The sequence below is a fragment of the Homo sapiens genome, chromosome 3 (assembly GCF_000001405.40).
Source record: "Homo sapiens chromosome 3, GRCh38.p14 Primary Assembly".
Taxonomy (NCBI): Eukaryota; Metazoa; Chordata; class Mammalia; order Primates; family Hominidae; genus Homo; species Homo sapiens.
Window position 1 is genome coordinate 26,160,775 of NC_000003.12, and position 17,380 is coordinate 26,178,154.

At 39.5% G+C, this 17,380-nt stretch overlaps 1 long non-coding RNA gene across 2 annotated transcripts in view, besides 1 other annotated feature; it reads left to right on the forward strand.

Annotated features, from left to right (window-relative positions):
- Nucleotides 1–17,380, forward strand: part of LOC105377002 (uncharacterized) — a 64,826-nt gene that overhangs the window by 17,125 nt on the left and 30,321 nt on the right. Inside the window, exons 3-4 of one of the 2 annotated variants that reach the window (XR_001740551.1) lie at nucleotides 6,992–7,087; nucleotides 7,522–7,602. The exons of the other annotated variant lie outside the window; for it this stretch is intronic. This is a non-coding gene — a long non-coding RNA (uncharacterized LOC105377002). Of the gene's footprint in view, nucleotides 1–6,991; nucleotides 7,088–7,521; nucleotides 7,603–17,380 lie in introns of those variants that run through there. 2 annotated transcript variants of the gene reach the window in all.
- Nucleotides 538–1,059: an enhancer, noted in NCBI's record as "NANOG hESC enhancer chr3:26202803-26203324 (GRCh37/hg19 assembly coordinates)". NCBI's record gives its function as "activates a minimal SCP1, AML or CMV promoter by ChIP-STARR-seq in primed H9 embryonic stem cells {active_cell/tissue: H9 hESC(primed)}" and the evidence as "EXISTENCE:reporter gene assay evidence [ECO:0000049][PMID:30033119]".

A 17,380-nucleotide genomic window follows, 5' to 3' on the forward strand; every position in this document is an offset into this window, starting at 1 on the left:
GGTAAAAGTACTGTCCAGTCCTTTTTAAGTTGGAGGCTGAGCTTGGTGAGGTGTGTCTTTCAAAGACCACGAGTCCGTTCTGCCTTTCCTGAAGATTGAAGACGATAAGGGATATGAAGTTTCCACTGAATACCAAGAGCCTGAGAAGCTGCTTGGGTGATTTGACTAGTAAAGGCCGGTCTGTTATCAGACTGTATAGAGGTGGGAAGGCCAAACTAAGAAATTGTATCTGACAGAAGGGAAGAAATGACTGTGGTGGACTTCTCAGACCCTGCGGGAAAGGCCTCTACCCATCCAGTGAAAGTGTCTACCCAGACCAAGAGTTATTTTAGTTTCCTGATCTGGGGCATGTGAATAAAGTCAATTTGCCAGTCCTGGGCAGGGACAAATACCCGAGCTTGATGTGTAGGAAAGGGAGGGGGGCCCTGAACAATCCCTGAGGGGTAGTAGAATAGCAGATGGAACACTGAGAAGTGGTTTCCCTGAGGATAGATTTCCACGATGGAAAGGAGATGAGAGGTTCTAAGAGATGAGATAGCAGCTTGTAACCTACATGGAAGAGGTTATGAAATCATGACAGAATAGAATGGGCCTGTGAGGCTGGAAGGAGATATTTTCCTTGGTCTAAGAACCATTTGCCTTGTGTGGGAAGAGATTGATAGGTGGAAGTTTCAGCAGGGGAATAGGTGGGAGTGACCCATGTGAAGGAGAAAGAAGTTGGAATGCTAGCTGCTTGTCTAGCCACCTTATCAGCATAAGCGTTGCCTAGAGCAATGGGATCTGACACCTTTTGATGGCCTTTGCAGTGAATGACTCAAGTTTCCTTTGGAAGTAAAGCGGCCTTGAGCAGAGTTTTTATTAAAGAGGCATTAATGCTGGAGGACCCTTGCGTAGTGAGGAAACCTCTTTCAGCCCATATAACAGCATGGTGGTGCAGAATATGGAAGGCATATTTAGAGTCAGTATAAGTATTGACATGTTGTCCTTTTGCAAGAGTGAGGGCCTGAGTTGAGGCAACTAATTTGGCTTGCTGAGAGGTAGTGGAGGCGGGCAGAGCAGTAGCCTCAATGATAGGTGTGGAAGATACTATAGCATAGCCTGCCTTTGCTGGTGAGTGGTGATTAGCCTGGTGGAGCTGCCATCAATAAACCAAGTGTGTTCAGGGTGAGGAACATGAAAGAATATGGGGAAATGGAGTGAATGTCAGGTGGATCAGAGACATACAGTCATGGGGGTCAGGTGTGGTATCAGGAATAATGTGGGAAGCCGGATTGGAGTCCGGGTGAGGAACAATGGTAACTGTGGGAAACTTAGCAAAGAGTGAGTACAGCTGAAGGAGCCAGGGAGCAGAAAGTATATGTGTCAGGTGTGAGGAAGAAAATAGATTTTGGAAGTTATGAGAACTGTAGAGAGTGAGTTGAGCATAGTTTGTGATTTTGAGGGCCTCTAAAAGTATTAGGGTGGTGGCAGCCACCGCACGCAGACATCAGGGCTAGGCTAAAACAGTAAGGTCAAGTTGTTTGGATAAAAAGGCTACAGGGCACAGTCCCGGTTCTTGTGTAAGAATTCCGACTGCATAGCCCTGCAGTTCGGCTGTGTGTAATGAAAAGGGTTGGGATGAGTCAGGGAGAGCTAGTGTGGGGGCAGTCTCTAAAGCTGTCTTCAAGGAATGGAAAGAGGAGTGGGGAAAGGATTTAGGATCTATGGGATCAGCTAGGTTTCCTTTTGTGAGTTTATCTAATGGTTTTCTTAGGATGGCAAAACCAGGTACCTAAAGTCAAAAGTATCCAACCATGCCTAGGAAGGAAAAAGAGTTGTTTTGTAGAAGGTGTTGGGGTTTGAGAGATCAGTTGGACATGATTAGCAGGGAGAGCATTTGTGTTTTTATGAGAGTTATGCCGAGATAGGTAACAGATGAGGAAGAAATTGGGCTTTACTGACAGTGGGGGCTGTCTGTGAAGGCTTGCGGCAGTACGGCCCAGGTAATTTGCTGAGCCTGATGGGTGTCAGGGTCAGTCCAAGTGAAAGCGAAGAGAGGCTGGGATAAAGGGTACAAAGGAATAGTAAAGAAAGCATGTTTGAGATCCAGAACAGAAAAATGGGTTGTGGAGGGAGGTATTGAGGATAGGAGAGTATATGGGTTTGGCACCACGGGGTGGATAGGCAAAACAATTTGGTTGATAAGGGGCAGATTCTGAACTAACCTGTAAGCCTTGTCTGGTTTTTGAACAGGTAAAATGGGGGAATTGTAAGGGGAGTTTATAGGCCTTAAAAGGCCGTGCTGTAGCAGGCGAGTGATAACAGGCTTTAATCTTTTTAAAGCATGCCGTGGGATGGGATATTGGCATTGAGTGGGGTAAGGGTGATTAGGTTTTAATGGGATGGTAAGGTGCATGATGGGTCACTAAGGAGGGAGTAGAGGTGTCCTATACTTGTGGTTTAAGGTGGGGAGATACAAGGGGAGGATGTGAAGGAGGGTTTGAATTGGAGAAAAGGGTGGCAATGAGGTGTGGCTGTAGCCTAGGAATAGTCAGGGAAGCAGATAATTTAATTAAAATGTTTCTGCCTAATAAGGGAACTGGGCAGGTGGGGATAACTAAAAAGGAGTGCTTAGAAGAGTATTGTCTAAGTTGGCACCAGAGTTGGGGAGTTTTAAGAGGTTTAGTAGCCTGGCCGTCAGTACCCACAACAGTTATGGAGGCAAGGGAAACAGGCCCCTGAAAAGAAGGTAATGTGGAGTGGGTAGCCTCTGTATTGATTAAGAAGGGGACGGACTTATCTTCCATTGTGAGAGTTACCCAGAGTGTCTCTGATGGTCCTGTAGGCTTCCGAGGTGACTGGGCAGTGTCAGTCTTCAGCTGCTAAACCAAGAAGATCTGGGAAGGACTCAGTCAGAGAGCCTTGGGCCAGAGTTCCATGGGCTCTGGAAGTGGCTGCCAGGTGAGTAGAACAGTCCAATTTTCAGTGGGGTCCCGTACAGATGGGACATGGCTTAGGAGGAATCCTGGGCTACGGGCATTCCTTGGCCCAGTGGCCAGATTTCTGGCACTTGTAGCAAGCTCCTGGGGGAGGAGGTTCTGGAGGAACCCCTGGCAGCTGCGGTTCAGGTGTTTGGAGTTCTTGTGTGCTGGAGATGTGGCTGGGGTTTGTCTCACAGTGGAGGCAAGGAATTGCAACTCAGAAATACATTGCTACTTGGGTGCCTCTACTTTATTATTGTACACCTTGAAGGCGAGGTTAATTAAGTCATGTTGTAGGGTTTGAGGGCCAGAATTTAATTTTTGGAGTTTTATTTAATGTCGGGAGTGGATTGGGTAATAAAATGTATATTGAGAATAAGATGGCCTTTTGACATTTTAGGGTCTAGGGCTGTAAAGCGTCTCTGGGTTGCTGCCAAATGAGCCATGAACTGGGCTGGGTTTTTATATTTGAAGAAAAAGAGCCTAAACGCCATCTGATTTGGGATAAAGAAAAAGGAGCATTAACCTTGACTATGCCTTTAGTTCCAGCCACCTTTTTAAGAGGAAATTGCTGGGCAGGTGGGGGAGGGCTAGTTGCGGAACTAAACTGTAAGCCGGACTGGGTGTGAGGAGGAGAGGTGATAAAAGGATTACAGGGTTTGGGAGCAGAGGCTGAGGAAGAATTGGGACCTAGCTAGGCCTGTTGAGGGGCAGCCTGGGGAGGAGGGGAGAAGTCAGATGGGTCTGTAGGAAAGGAAGATTAGAAAGACTCAGTGATGCTTGGGGTTGGGACTGAGAGGACAGGCAGGAGGGAAAGAAGGAGGATTTGGGATGAGTCGCATTGGGAACAGAGACTAGGGAGGGAGCAATGTATAAAAGAATGCCTGGACGTCAGGCGTCTCAGACCATTTGCCCATTTTACGACAAGAATTATCTAGATCTTGTAGGATGGAAAAATCGAAAGTGCCATTTTCTGGCTATTTGGAACCACTGTCGAGTTTGTATTGGGGTCAAGTGGCATTGTAGAAGAAAATAAGGCATTTAGGTTTTAGGTCAGGTGTGAGTTGAAGAGGTTTTAAGTTCTTGAGAACACAGGCTAAGGGAGAAGAGGGAGGAATGGAGGGTGGAAGGTTGCCCATAGTGAAGGAGGCAAGCCCAGAGAAAAGAGAGAGTAGAGACACAGAGAGAAGGGGTGGGGGATGCTTGCCCCCCAGGAAAGTGGAGAAGGGGTAGAGACATGGAGAGAAGGGGTTGGGGGGGTTCTTGCCCCCCAAAAAGCGGTACTTGCTGCTAAGGGTGAAGGACCAAGGCAGGCATCCTCGCGTGGTCAGACACCTCTGAAACACGGGTGAATAATCAGGCAGGTGTCCCGTGCGATTAAACACCAAGGGAAGACTGTCTTCCCGAGTCCGTGACCTGCGCCAGAGTTTTGGGTTCACGGATAAAATGCGTCTCCTTTGTCTACCAGAAAAGGAAAGGAACTGAAATTGAGAGAAGGGAGAGATTGAAGTGTGGCACCAAGATTGAAAGGAGAAGGAGGTTGAGGGATAGTGAGAGAGGTTGGAGAAGAGAGTAAAGAGAGGCCGCTTACACAATTTAAAATTGGTGAGATGTTCCTTGGGTTGGTTGGTCTGAGGACCTGAGGTCGTAGGTGGATCTTTCTCACGGAGCAAAGAGCAGGAGGACAGGGGATTGATTTCCCAAGGGAGGTCCTCCGATCCGAGTCATGGCATCAATTTCACTCGTGTCCATGTGAAGAGAACACCAAACAGGCTTTGTGTGAGCAATAAAGCTTTTTAATCACCTGGGTGCAGGTGGGCTCAGTCTGAAAAGAGAGTCAGACGCATCATAGGGTATTTAGCAGCATTTATGATCTTTACTTACTAGATGCCAGTAGCACCCTGGCTCCCAGCTATGACACCCAAAAATATTTCTAGAGATTGCCAAATATCCCCTGAGGGGAAAACTCACCCCCAAAGTTGAGAACCACAGTTATAAAATATTCTGTGACTGCTTACAAGTTACAAAGAAAATTTTGAATTCTTACAGCTAGAAGTCTTATTATCTGAACTAGGATACTTCCCTGGGCAAGATTTTAAAAACTGAATTTCAGTTTCCTAACTGTAAACAACCAAGTAATCTTTAGTTGTTCTGACTCAATACCCTGCCCTCATCTTTTCTGATGCTAAAGAGCAGTTGGGTAACATAACAGTTCTTTCAGGCAACTGTCATGTGTCTCTCACCAGCAAGGCCACACATTTTTTCCAGTCATCATTACCTCCTGCCATCCCTCTATCTCCAGAAGCTCAAATCTGGCTCTCTCTCTTTTTACTTCTATTTGTAAATATGCTGTTTCTTGCAGTCAGAGATCATGGATCAGCAATAGCTCAAAATATTGGTCAAGATGCTGCTGCTTCATAAAACCCTAAATCTTAGTGGCTTATTATTTAATACAAGTTTTTCACATATATCATAGTCTATCACATGTATATTTATGGTTGAGCACTTCATGTGATCCATGGGACCCAGGTTCCTTCCATTCTGTGATTCTACTCATCTCTAGGTCCTTGGAGTGCTGACTTAACAAAATATTGAATGGGCAGAGACCATGAGGAAGATTCACTCACATCTTAAACATCTCAGCCCCGAAATAGCATATAAAACCCATTCTCATTTCATTTTCCAGAACTCAGTCATTAACCACATCTAACTGCAAGTCAGGTTGGAAAATGGAGTCAAGTGGTGTAGTCATCTGAAAAAAGGAATTAGTTTTGCTAACAATCTTGGCCACACTCAACTTCTTCCAATTCATCTAGTCACATAGCTTTCTTCTGGCTCTACTTAGCTCTTGGCTATTCCTGGAAACCAAAGTGGGCTCCATCAAAGGTTTTTTCCTTAATAACCTGGGTTTCTTTGCTCCAAGGAGTATCTTCTGTACTTGCTCATCAATTTTTGCTGGTTTAAGCCTGAGTCATCTTCAGGGTCTCCTTTATCTTCACTGTTCCAAGCTTCAGTATAACGTAATGGCTGATGAAAGTGGTGACTCTCAATTCATTTCATGCTCCCCAATGGTAGCTTGGCTCCTATGCTTCCTAATAGTGTATCCATTTTGGTTTGTCGTTGGGAATCCTTTTAATTCTCTGGCATTATTTTTATAATGTTTGTTTCCATTGTTTTTTCATATTCCTTAAGCCAGAATCCTCTTTCCCTTATGACTCTTGACAGATGACTTCTTATGCTACTTTACTTTTAAAATGAAGATTATTAAAAGGAAAATTTTTATCCACTCCTTTCTTTACTTCAGTGTTGAGCTGTAATTTTTTTCATCTTTTCTTCATTCTTTTCCTAGCCAGATGAGAGGTACTGCTCTTCTATGAAATCACACCTTATAAAACTGACCCTATCACTGGATACTTGCTGGGACAGCTTCCCTCAGTTGTCCCCAGCCTCTCAGTGCTTCCGATAGTTCTTTAATTTATGTTTGTGGATTAGATACATGGATGTGTAAGTGGCAAGTTGCTAGAGTAAAATATCTACTCTGCTTCTTTTTTTTAAAATACTACTGACATTTGCTGAAATTTCTGAAATTGTGGACCTCTTCTTCCAGCTTCGTAAAAATTACACTCTTTAAGACTTCTGGACCTCATGGAAGACTGCTGACTTTTCAAACTTTGTGACTTTTCCTTAGTTCAAATACACTCCCTAGAACATTGGCTCTGTTATCTACCTCTTGTTTCTTGAAATTCTTATATATCTTAGCAACTTTCCCATCATCCTATCCTCATCTTCATCTCCTCTTTATGGCCACTTATCTCTTTGTAAGATTATGATTATGGAGACGCCACTATTTGCTGGATATTCTGGAAGGTTCTGAGGATCAAAGATAAAGATGCTTTTCCTCATGCATTCAGCGTCTTTCTCTTCTTTTCTCTAAATATTTAGTCTTTGGTTCTCTCTCTCTTTCTCTGTCTCTTTCTGCTTTACAAACCTCTCCCTTGAAGAAGAGTAATTTTTATAATATTGTCTCTTAGATCTATGCAAATGTCTCTCATATTTGGAATTGAGCTTCTACGAAGGCCAGTGCCATTTTTCTCCTGCTGTTTACTGCCCATCTCCATGGAAAACAAGTGAGTCTATAGTAAATTATGGCACCTGCCTTTTTTTCTAACTTCTACCCATCTTATTCTCCAACGTTAGACCTGTATGCCTCAATTATTATTTTATAAAAACACTTTAATTACAACTTTTCATGTAGAAATATCAGAAAATATTAGAAAAAAGTAATATTCACTTCTAACTGCATCAGCTAGATAGAGCTAATGTTAATGATTTGTTGTGCAGAGTGTACATTATATATGTTCATTTAGGGATCATCTTCTGTGTAGTCTTTGTAAACCTTTTTCACTTCATATGTCGCGAGCATTTTTCCTTCTCTATAGGTACATTTACATCATTTTTAATGGCTGCATAATTTTCCATAATTTGATTAACATTGTCTAAAGAATGCTGCAATTTGCAGACTGGTAGGCAATTCCTTCCTCACATCTTTATTTTTCCATAGGACACATTCCCAGAAGTGAAAGTGCAGATTCAAAGAACCTGTAAGTATTTAATGAGTCTGGTCAATCAGCGTTGCTCAGGGGGACTCTTTGCCTTCACGCATCAATTGAGTAAATATCCAAAGGGTTCTTGTTATGTTCCATGCCCTATACTCCTGTTTTTCCAACTTCTCTTCTCTCCAATTTATTTTTCATTTTACCAGGTTAATCTTGCTTAAACCTTGTCTGCATCTGTCATTTCCCTTCATGGAAACCTCCTCAGTACAATCATACCTAATGACTAAAGCCTGACTTTCTGGCCTGCCAGTCAAGCCCTACTCCCTTTTACACAAGTGCACACACACACACACACGTGCACACAAGTCTCAGCCTTCCTTTCCAATTAGGGATTCTGCTACCTTCCCATATGAACCTTCCACATCTCTGCAGGCTGATGTCCTGTCCTTCTGGTACTCCTTATTCATCCCTGATTCACCCACCACTCTTTCAAAGAACCAGAAAGGTGGCCGGGCGTGGTGTAATCCCAGCACTTTGGGAGGCTGAGGTGGGCAGATCACAAGGTCAGGAGATCAAGACCATCCTGGCTAACACGGTGAAACCCCGTCTCTACTAAAAATACAAAAAATTAGTCGGGCGTGGTGGCAGACGCCTGTAGTCCCAGCTACTCAGTAGGCTGAGGCAGGAGAATGGCATGAACCTGGGAGGCGGAGCTTGCAGTGAGCTGAGATCGCGCCACTGCACTCCAGCCTGGGCGACAGAGCGAGACTCTGTCTCAAAAAAAAAAAAAAAAAAAAAAAAAGAAGAACCAGAAAGGCATTCCAAGGGTCCTCCTCCTCTAGAAGTGCACTCTGTTCAGTGGTGGTATTTCTTCTCAAGCCCTGATTTGTCATGCGTTAGTGTTATCCTGAAAGGTGCAAGTATACTAAGCTCCTTCTGGGTACAACTGAAATTATATTTATTTCTCACTCCCCTGAACAGAATACTATGTACTTACTCTATTTTTATAGCTCATAAATGTATTTAACATTTATTGAGCATCTACTATGTGCTGGTTACTATACTTAGTTCTGTGGATACAATAATAACTAAGTTAGCTGAGGTCTTCATCCATATCACATAGGAATCTAAGAGTTTGCAAAGTTTTTACTTTCCAGACCTACCCATTTGAACATACATACCCTAAATACCCATATATTCCCCATAGGCTTAATTATGGGTTGCTGTCCTTCTACTCCTTTCTCAAGACTACTTCCTGATAAACTTCTTTTACAAACAAGTAAAAACCTAGAAGTCCAATGAAGTCCATTATTTATAAAATTCTATTCTGCATTATCTGGCCTATCCAGTGTAATAAATGAAAGTATTCAAATAATTTCAGGGATAATGGAGCCCAGATTCAAAGACAACTTCTCAAAGACAATTCTGTGGCTGTCCATGGTATGACTTTTCGCATTTTGAAGAAAAATACACACAATATACTTTTACATTGGAATTTTCTAGTGTTAAGTATTGTTAAATGAAAGTAGGCCAGGCATGGTGGCTCACGCCTGTAATCCCAGCACTTTGGGAGGCTGAGTCGGGCAGATCACCTGAGGTCGGGAGGCTGAGGCAGGACAATCACTTGAACCTGGTAGGCGGAGGTTGCTGTGAGCCAAGATTGCGCCGTCGCATACCAGCCTGGGGAACAAGAGCAAAACTCGGGCTCAAAAGAAAAAAAAAAAAAAAGTAAACACAGATCATGCAAAAACACATAAAAATAAAAGTAAATGGAACTAGATCACCACTATGAAGGATTATACACTGAACAATAAAGCAATGCAAATGTGATTGTCTTTATTTCTAATCCCCCAAATATTGAAATGAATTCAGTTTGGATGGATGTCTCAGCTCTGAAAAATCCTTTAATTGAGAAAACAGGAAATCCCCAGGTTGTGATGGGTTCTATTAGATTCTCTTTTGCACTGTGAAATATACAATTTTGTGATTACCTTAAATTTAGACTTTAAGGAAATACCTTACAGAAGGTGTATATATTAAGTTCTCTCAGGATCAGCATTTTCCATAGGGATCATGAGAACCTGAGCAGGAAATGTTGGGTGATTAGGGAAATTTTATACTTTCATTTGTAACAAATAATTTACAGGGAAAGAAAGGTAGAATCTTACAAGTAAAGGGATTAGGCAAAAGTCCAACTAGGGATTTAAGTGATCAATATGTTTCCTTTGGCTAATCTAATAGTAAACTTAGGTCCAAGAAATTAGGAAAAAAGTCAACAGAACTATGCTGTTAATAAAAGATGAAAGAAAAGAAGCAATAATGATGATTTATTCACAAGTTTTCAGAGACTTACTGAAAAATTTTCGTAGGCATAATGTAATGATTCTTCATTCTGTTTATTCAACCTTTCTACTCAAGATAATCTAAAGAAAAGTATGAGAATCAAAATGATTAATGAATGTATTTCAGTTTCAATACACCTGAAATTTTGAATGATAATTTAAACTGGAAAAGACATTTTTAATGGTAGAATTGTTACTTCTTTTGGATTTAATTCACTGGGAAGTTAGTGGGAAGTTAGAAAATTTGGTGTTTTAGAGACTATTTCTGAAAGCACAGAGGCTACATTTAGTAATAGATATAATAAAGAATATAAATATCTTCATACATATATATATATATATATATATATAGTTACAAAAAATAGATGTGTCTAGATTAGCTAGACATAAGGAAAACTTTTGGCTGATATACTGTGCTGTGTCTCCATGTCTATTCTTTTTTTACATCACAAAGTCTAAAAGCCTGAAATTTTATTTTATTGTTTTTACACCCCTTAAGCATAAATTTCACTATCTTAACAGTTCACTTGTTTCCAAGACAGATAACCTAGTGTCCCTGATATAGCCCATATGTGTCTTGGTAGTGAATGGCTGTTCATAAACTGTGAGTGCAAAGATGGCTTAGTGCATATGTTTTTGTAGTCAATTTCTTTTTTAAGCTGAGGCACACCATTTTTCTAAGAACTCTCTTGTTACTGTGCTCATTAATCAGTTTTTGTTTGCAATAACAGTGTTCACATGATAACAAGGCTTGTAGAAATATTATTTCAGGACTCAAAATCCTTACCAATGTACAGATTGCAAGGGACTAGAAGAGGGAAGAACATCCTATTGATGAAATTTCTGGGTCACAACCCTGGCCCTTGTGGATTACTGCAGTTGAAGGTGTTCAAGAAGAGGGTGCGTCACCACCTGGAAACTAGAATATGTTTAAAGGATGTTTTAGATTGTGAATGCTGGAACTACATTAGCAGTTTATTTTATCCTGATTTTTTTCTTTGAGTCCCAAATTCAGAGAATAAACTCCTTAAGTCATAGCATATGGTTGTCACTATTATCCATTCAAGAGCCTTCTTTTTTCTAATTTTTATTCATTTGGCCTTCCCTTTCTTTCCCAATCCTCACTTCTATTTTATTTCCTCAAATAGAAATGAACTCAACATATTTATGTCCTTAAATGTGCATGTATTCCTATAAAATGTGTAGACTTTATGAGTATATGTGTTTTAAATGTTCGTAAGTGGTATTATTTCTCAATCTCTTTTTTTCCTTCTCTTAGCTTTTTATTTTGAAATACTTTTAAATTCATGGAAAAGGGGCAAGAATACTAAAAAGAATTCCAGGATACCCTTCACTCAGATTCATTCATTAATATCATTTGACCACATTTGCTCTATCATTATTTCTCTATAAATACACATTTGTATTTTTTTCTGAACCATTTGAGAGTAAGTTGCTGACATGGTTTGGCTGTGTCCTCACCCAATTCTCTTGAAGTGTAACTCCCACAATTCCCACCCATCATGGGAGGAACCCAGTGGGAGATGGTTGAATTATGGGGGCGGGTCTTTACCATGCTGTTCTTGTGATAGTGAATGAGTCTCATGAGATCTGATGGCTTTAAAAACAAGAGTTTGCCTGCACAAGCTCTCTCTTTGCCTGCTGCCATCCATGTAAAACATGACTTGCTCCTCCTTGCCTTCTGCTGTGATTGTAGGGCTTCCCCAGTCACGTGAAACTATAAGTCCAATTAAACCTCTTTCTTTTGTAAATTTCTCAGTCTTGGGTATGTCTGTATAAGCAGCATGAAAATGGACTAATATGGTTGCATACAGGATACCCCTTTACCCTAAATGCATCAGTGTGAATTTTCTAAGAACAAAAACATTCTTTAACATAATATAGTACAATTATTCAAATCAGGAAATTTATACTGATATAATACTATGATCTAATCTACAGTCCATATTCAGGTTCTGCCGCTTGCCCCATAATGTCCTTCATGACAATTTTTTTCCTTGGTCCAGGCTCTAATCTAGGATCCTACCTTGCATTTAGTTGTCAAATCTTTTTAGTTTCCTTTAATATGAGTACAGTTCCTTAAACGTATTTTGCCTTTCATTATATTGACATTTTTAAGCATGCAGGTCAGTTGTTTTGTAGACTGTTCCTAAATTTGGGTATGTCTGGTGTTCATGCATTTTTGGGCAGGAATGCCACAGAAGTGATGTTGTGTTCTTAGTGCATCAAATCAGGAAGCCCATGAGCTAGCATCATTCATAATGGTTGCCCAGTATTCTACTAGTTCATTCAAACCAATTTCCTATTATATCATGTTTAGGTGGTTCTCAATTTTGCTTTTTGTTTTTTGTAGAGATAGGGTCTTGCTCTGTCACTCAGCCTGGAGTGCAGTGGCACATGCATAGCTCAATATAACCTCAAACTCCTGGGCTCAAGCCATCCTCCTACCTTGGACTCCCAAAGCACTGGGATTACAGGTGTGTGCCACCACACCTGGCCTTCAATTTTTAAACATAATGATAAACTATGATGAGGTAAATATTCTTGAACTTACATGTTTGCATGGCTGTCTAATTATTTCCTTAGGCTAAATTCTAGATGTAAAACCACTGAGTGAAAGGGTGAAAACATAGACTTGTTTTAAAGCTCTTGGTCCCTAGTGTTGCCAAGCCATTCTCCAGAAAGCAGTGCAGGTCTTTCTACTCCAGTTAGTAGCATCTGCCTATGTCTTGCTCTTTCCAACCCTCCCTATCAGAATCCTTGCCACTTTGATAAATGAAATGGTATTGCATTATTGTTTTATTGCTTTATTTATTTGTTTATTATTTCCATAGGTTATTGGGGAACAGGTGGTGTTTGGTTACATGAGTAAGTTCTTCAGTGTAATTTGTGAGATTTTGGTGCACCCATCACTCAAGCAGTATACAGTGAGCCCTGTTTGTAGTCCTTTATCCCTCACCCTCTTCTGATCCTTTCACCCTGAGTCCCCAAAGTCCATTTTGTCATTCTTATGCCTTTGCATCCTCATAGCTTAGCTCCACTTATGAATGAGAACATATGATGTTTGGTTTTCCATTCCTAAGTCACTTCACTTAGAATAATAGTCTCCAATCTCATCCAGATTGCTGTAAATGCCATTAATTCATTCCTTTTTAGGACTGAGTAGTATTTCATTGAATATATATATACCACAGTTTCTTTATCCACTTGTTGGTTGATGGGCATTTGGATTGGTTCCACATTTTTGCAATTATGAATTGTGCTGCTATAAACATGCATGTGCAGGTATCTTTTTCCTATAATGACTTCTTTTCCTCCGGGTAAATACCCAGTAGTGGGATTGCTGGATCAAATGGTAGTTCTACTTTTAGTTCTTTAAGGAACCTCCACACTGTTTTCCACAGTTGCTGTACTAGTTTACATTCCCACCAGCAAAGTAGAAGTGTTCCTGGTTCACCACATACATGCAAACATCTACTATTTTTTGATTTTTTGATTACGGCCATTTTTGTAGGAGTATGGTGGTATTGCATTGTGGTTTTGATTTGCATTTCCCTGATAATTAGTGATGTTGAGCATTTTTTCATATGTTGGTTGTCCATTTATATATCTTCTTTTGAGAATTGTCTATTCATGTCCTTAGCCCACTTTCTGATGGGATTGTTTTTTGCTTGGTGATTTGTTTGAGTTTGTTGTAATTCTGGATATTAGTGCTTTGTCAGATATATAGATTGTGAAGATTTCCTCCCACTCTGTGGCTTGTGTGTTTTCTCTACTGACTCCTCCTTTTGTTGTGCAAAAGCTCTTTAGTTTAATGAATTTCCAGCTACTTATGTTTGTTTTTATTGCATTTGTTTTTGGGTTCTTGGTCATGAAATCCTTGCCTAAGCCAATGTCTAGAAGGGTTTTTCCAATGTTATCTTCTGAATTTTTACAGTTTTAGATCTTAGATTTAAATCCTTAATCCATCTTGAGTTGATTTTTGTATAAGGTGAGAGATGAGAATCCAGTTTTATTCTCCTACATGTGGCTAGCCAATTATCCTAGCACCATTTGTTGAAAAGGGTATCCTTTCCCCACTTTATGTTTTTGATTGCTTTGTCAAAGATCAGTTAGCTGTAAGTACTGGGGTTTATTTCTGGGTTCTCTATTCTGTTCCATGGGTCTATGTGCCTATTTTGATACTAGTACCATGCTGTTTTGGTGACTATGGCCTTACAGTATAGTTTGAAATCAGGTAATATGATGCCCCCAGATGTGTTCTTTTTGCTTAGTCTTGCTTTGACTATGTGGAATCTTTTTTGGTTACATATGAATTTTAGAATTTTTTTTTAATTCTGTGAAGAATGATGGTGATATTTTTATGGAAATTGCATTCAATTTGTAGACAGCTTTTGGCAGTATGGTAATTTTTACAATGTTGATCCCACCCATCCATGAGCATGGGATGTGTTTTTATTTGTTTCTGTCATCTATGATTTCTTTCAGCAGTGTTTTGTAGTTTTCCTTGTAGAGGACTTTCACTTCCTTGGTTAGGTATATTCCTAAGTATTTTATTTTATTTTTTTGCAGCTATTGTAAAAGGGGTTGAGTTCTTGACTCAGCTTTGTTGCTGTTCATGTATAGAAAAGGTACTTATTTGTATACGTTAATTTTGTATCCAGAAACTTTGCTGAATTTTTTTTTTTATCAGTCCTAGGAACTTTCTGAAGAAGTCTTTAGAGTATTCTAGGTAAACAGTTATATCATCATCAGTGACAGTTTGACTTCCTCTTTACTGATTTGGATGCCCTTTATTTCTTTCACTTGTTTGATTGCTCTGGCTAAGACTTCCAGTACTGTTGAAGAGGAGTGGTGTGAGTGGGCATCCTTGTCTTGTTCCAGTTCTCATAGGGAATGCTTTCAACTTTTCCCCATTCAGTATTATGTTAGCTGTGGGTTTGTCATAGATGTCTTTTATTATATCTATGTATGTAATATAGGGTATGTCCTTGTATGCCGATTTTGCTGAGAGTTTTAATCATAAAGGATGCTAGATTTTGTTGAATGCATTTTCTGCATCTATTGAGATAATCATGTGAGTTTTGTTTTTATTCTGTTTTATGTGGTTTATCACATGTGTTGATGGGCATATGTTAAACCATCCCTGCATCCCTGGATGAAACCCACCTGATCATCACGAATTATCTTTTTGGTATGTTGTTGGACTTGGTTAGCTAGTATTTTATTAAGGATTTTAGCATCTGTGTTCATCAGGGATATTGGTCTATAGTTTTCTTTTTTGGTTATGTCCTTTTCTGGTTTTGGTATTAGGATGATACTGGCTTCACAGAATGATTAAGAAAGGGTTCCCTGTTTCCCTATCTTATGGAATAGTGTCAATAGGATTGATACCAATTCTTGTTTGAATGTCTGGTAGAATTCTGCTGTGAATCTTTCTGGTCCTGGACTTTTTTGTCGGTAATTTAAAAAATTACCATTTCAATCTCACTGCTTGTTTTTGGCCTGTTCAAGGTATCTAAATCTTCATGATTTAAGCTAGGAGGGTTGTGTATTTCCAGGAATTTATCCATCTCTTCTGGGTTTTCTAGTTTATATGCATAAAGGTGTTGATAGTAGGCTTGAATGATCTTTTGTATTTCTGGGACGTCAGTTGTAATATCTCCTATTTTGTTTCTTATTAAGCTTATTTGTATTTTCTCCCTTCTTTTCTTGGTTAATCTTGCTAATGGTCTATCAATTTTATTTATCTTTCCAAAAAGCCAGCTTTTTGTTTCATTTATCTTTTGTATTTTTGTTTGTTTTAATTTCCTTTAGTTCTTCTCTGATCTTGGTTATTTCCTTTCTTCTGCTGGGTTTGGGTTTGGTTTGTTCTTGTTTTTCTAGTTCCTTGAGGTATGATCTTAGAATGGAAGCTTGTGCTCTTTCAGACTTTTTGATGTGGGTGTTTAGAACTATGAACTTTCCCCTTAGCACCACCTTTGCTGTATCCCAGAGGTTTCCATAGGTTGTGTCACAATTGTCATTCAGTTCGAAGAATTTTTTAATTTCCATCTTGATTTTGTTTTTGACCCAATAATCATTCAGGAGCAGGTTATTTAATTTCCGTGTATTTGTATGGTTTTAAAGGTTCCTTTTGGAGTTGATTTCCAGTTTTTTTCCACTGTGTTCTAAGAGAGTGCTTGATATAGTTTTAATTTTTTTTTAAATTTATTGAGGCTCGTTTTGTGGCCTATCATATGGTCTATCTTTGAGAAAGTTCCATGCACTGTTGAACAGAATGTATATTCTGTAATTGTTGGGTGGAATGTTCTGTATATACCTGTTAAGTCCACTTGTTCCAAGGTATAGTTAAAATCCATCGTTTCTTTGTTGACTTTCTGTCTGGATGATTCTTCTAGTGCTGTGAGTGGAGTATTGAAGTCTCCCACTATTATTGTGTTGCTGTCTATCTCATTTCTTAGGTCTATTAGTAACTTTTTTATAAATTTGGGAGCCCCAGTGTTAGCTGCATATATATTTAGAATTGTGATATTTTCCTGGTGGACAAGGCCATTTATCATTATATAATGTCCTTTGTCTCTTTTAATTGCTGTTACTCTAAAGTTTGTTTTGTCTGGTATAAGAATAGGTATTTCTGCTCACTTTTGGTGTCAATTTGCATTAAATGCCTTTTTCCATTCCTTTACCTTAAGTTTATGTGAGTTTTTATGTGTTAGGTGAGTCTCTTGAAGGCCACAGATAGTTGGTTGGTGAATTCTTATGCATTCTGCTATTCTGTATCTTTTAAGTGGAGCATTTAGGCCATTTAATTTAATGTCAGTATTGAGATGTAAGGTATCATGCTATTTGTTGCCTGTATACCTTGGTTTTTTGTTGTTTTTGTTTTTTAAATTGTATTTTTGCTTTATAGGTCCTGTGAGATGTATGCTTTTTTTGATGTTTTTCCAGGATTTGTTTCAAGACTTAGAGCTCCTTTTAGCAATTCTTGTAGTAGTGTGTTGGTAGTAGTGAATTCTCTCAGCATTTGTTTGTCTGAAAAAAACCGTATCTTTCCTTCCTGTATGAATCTTAGTTTCTCTGGATACACAATTCTTGACTGATAATTGTTTTCTTTATAAGGCTAAAGATAGGGCCTCAATCCCTTCTAGCTTACAGGGTCTCTGCTGAGAAATCTGCTGTTAATCTGATAGGTTTTCCTTTATGGGTTACCCGGTGCTTCTGTCTCACAGGTCTTAAGATTCTTTCCTTTATCTTAACTTTAGATAACCTGATGACTATGTGCCTAGGCAATGATCTTTTTGTGAAGCATTTCCCAGCTGTTCTTTGTGCTTCTTGTGTTTGGATGTCTAGGTCTTTAGCAAGACGAGGGTAGTTTTCCTAATTTTTTCCCCCAAATATGGTTTCCAAACTTTTAGATTTCTCTTTTTCCTCCAGAATGTCTATTATTCTTAAGTTTGTTCATTTAACATAATCCAAGAGGCTTTGTTCATATTTTCTT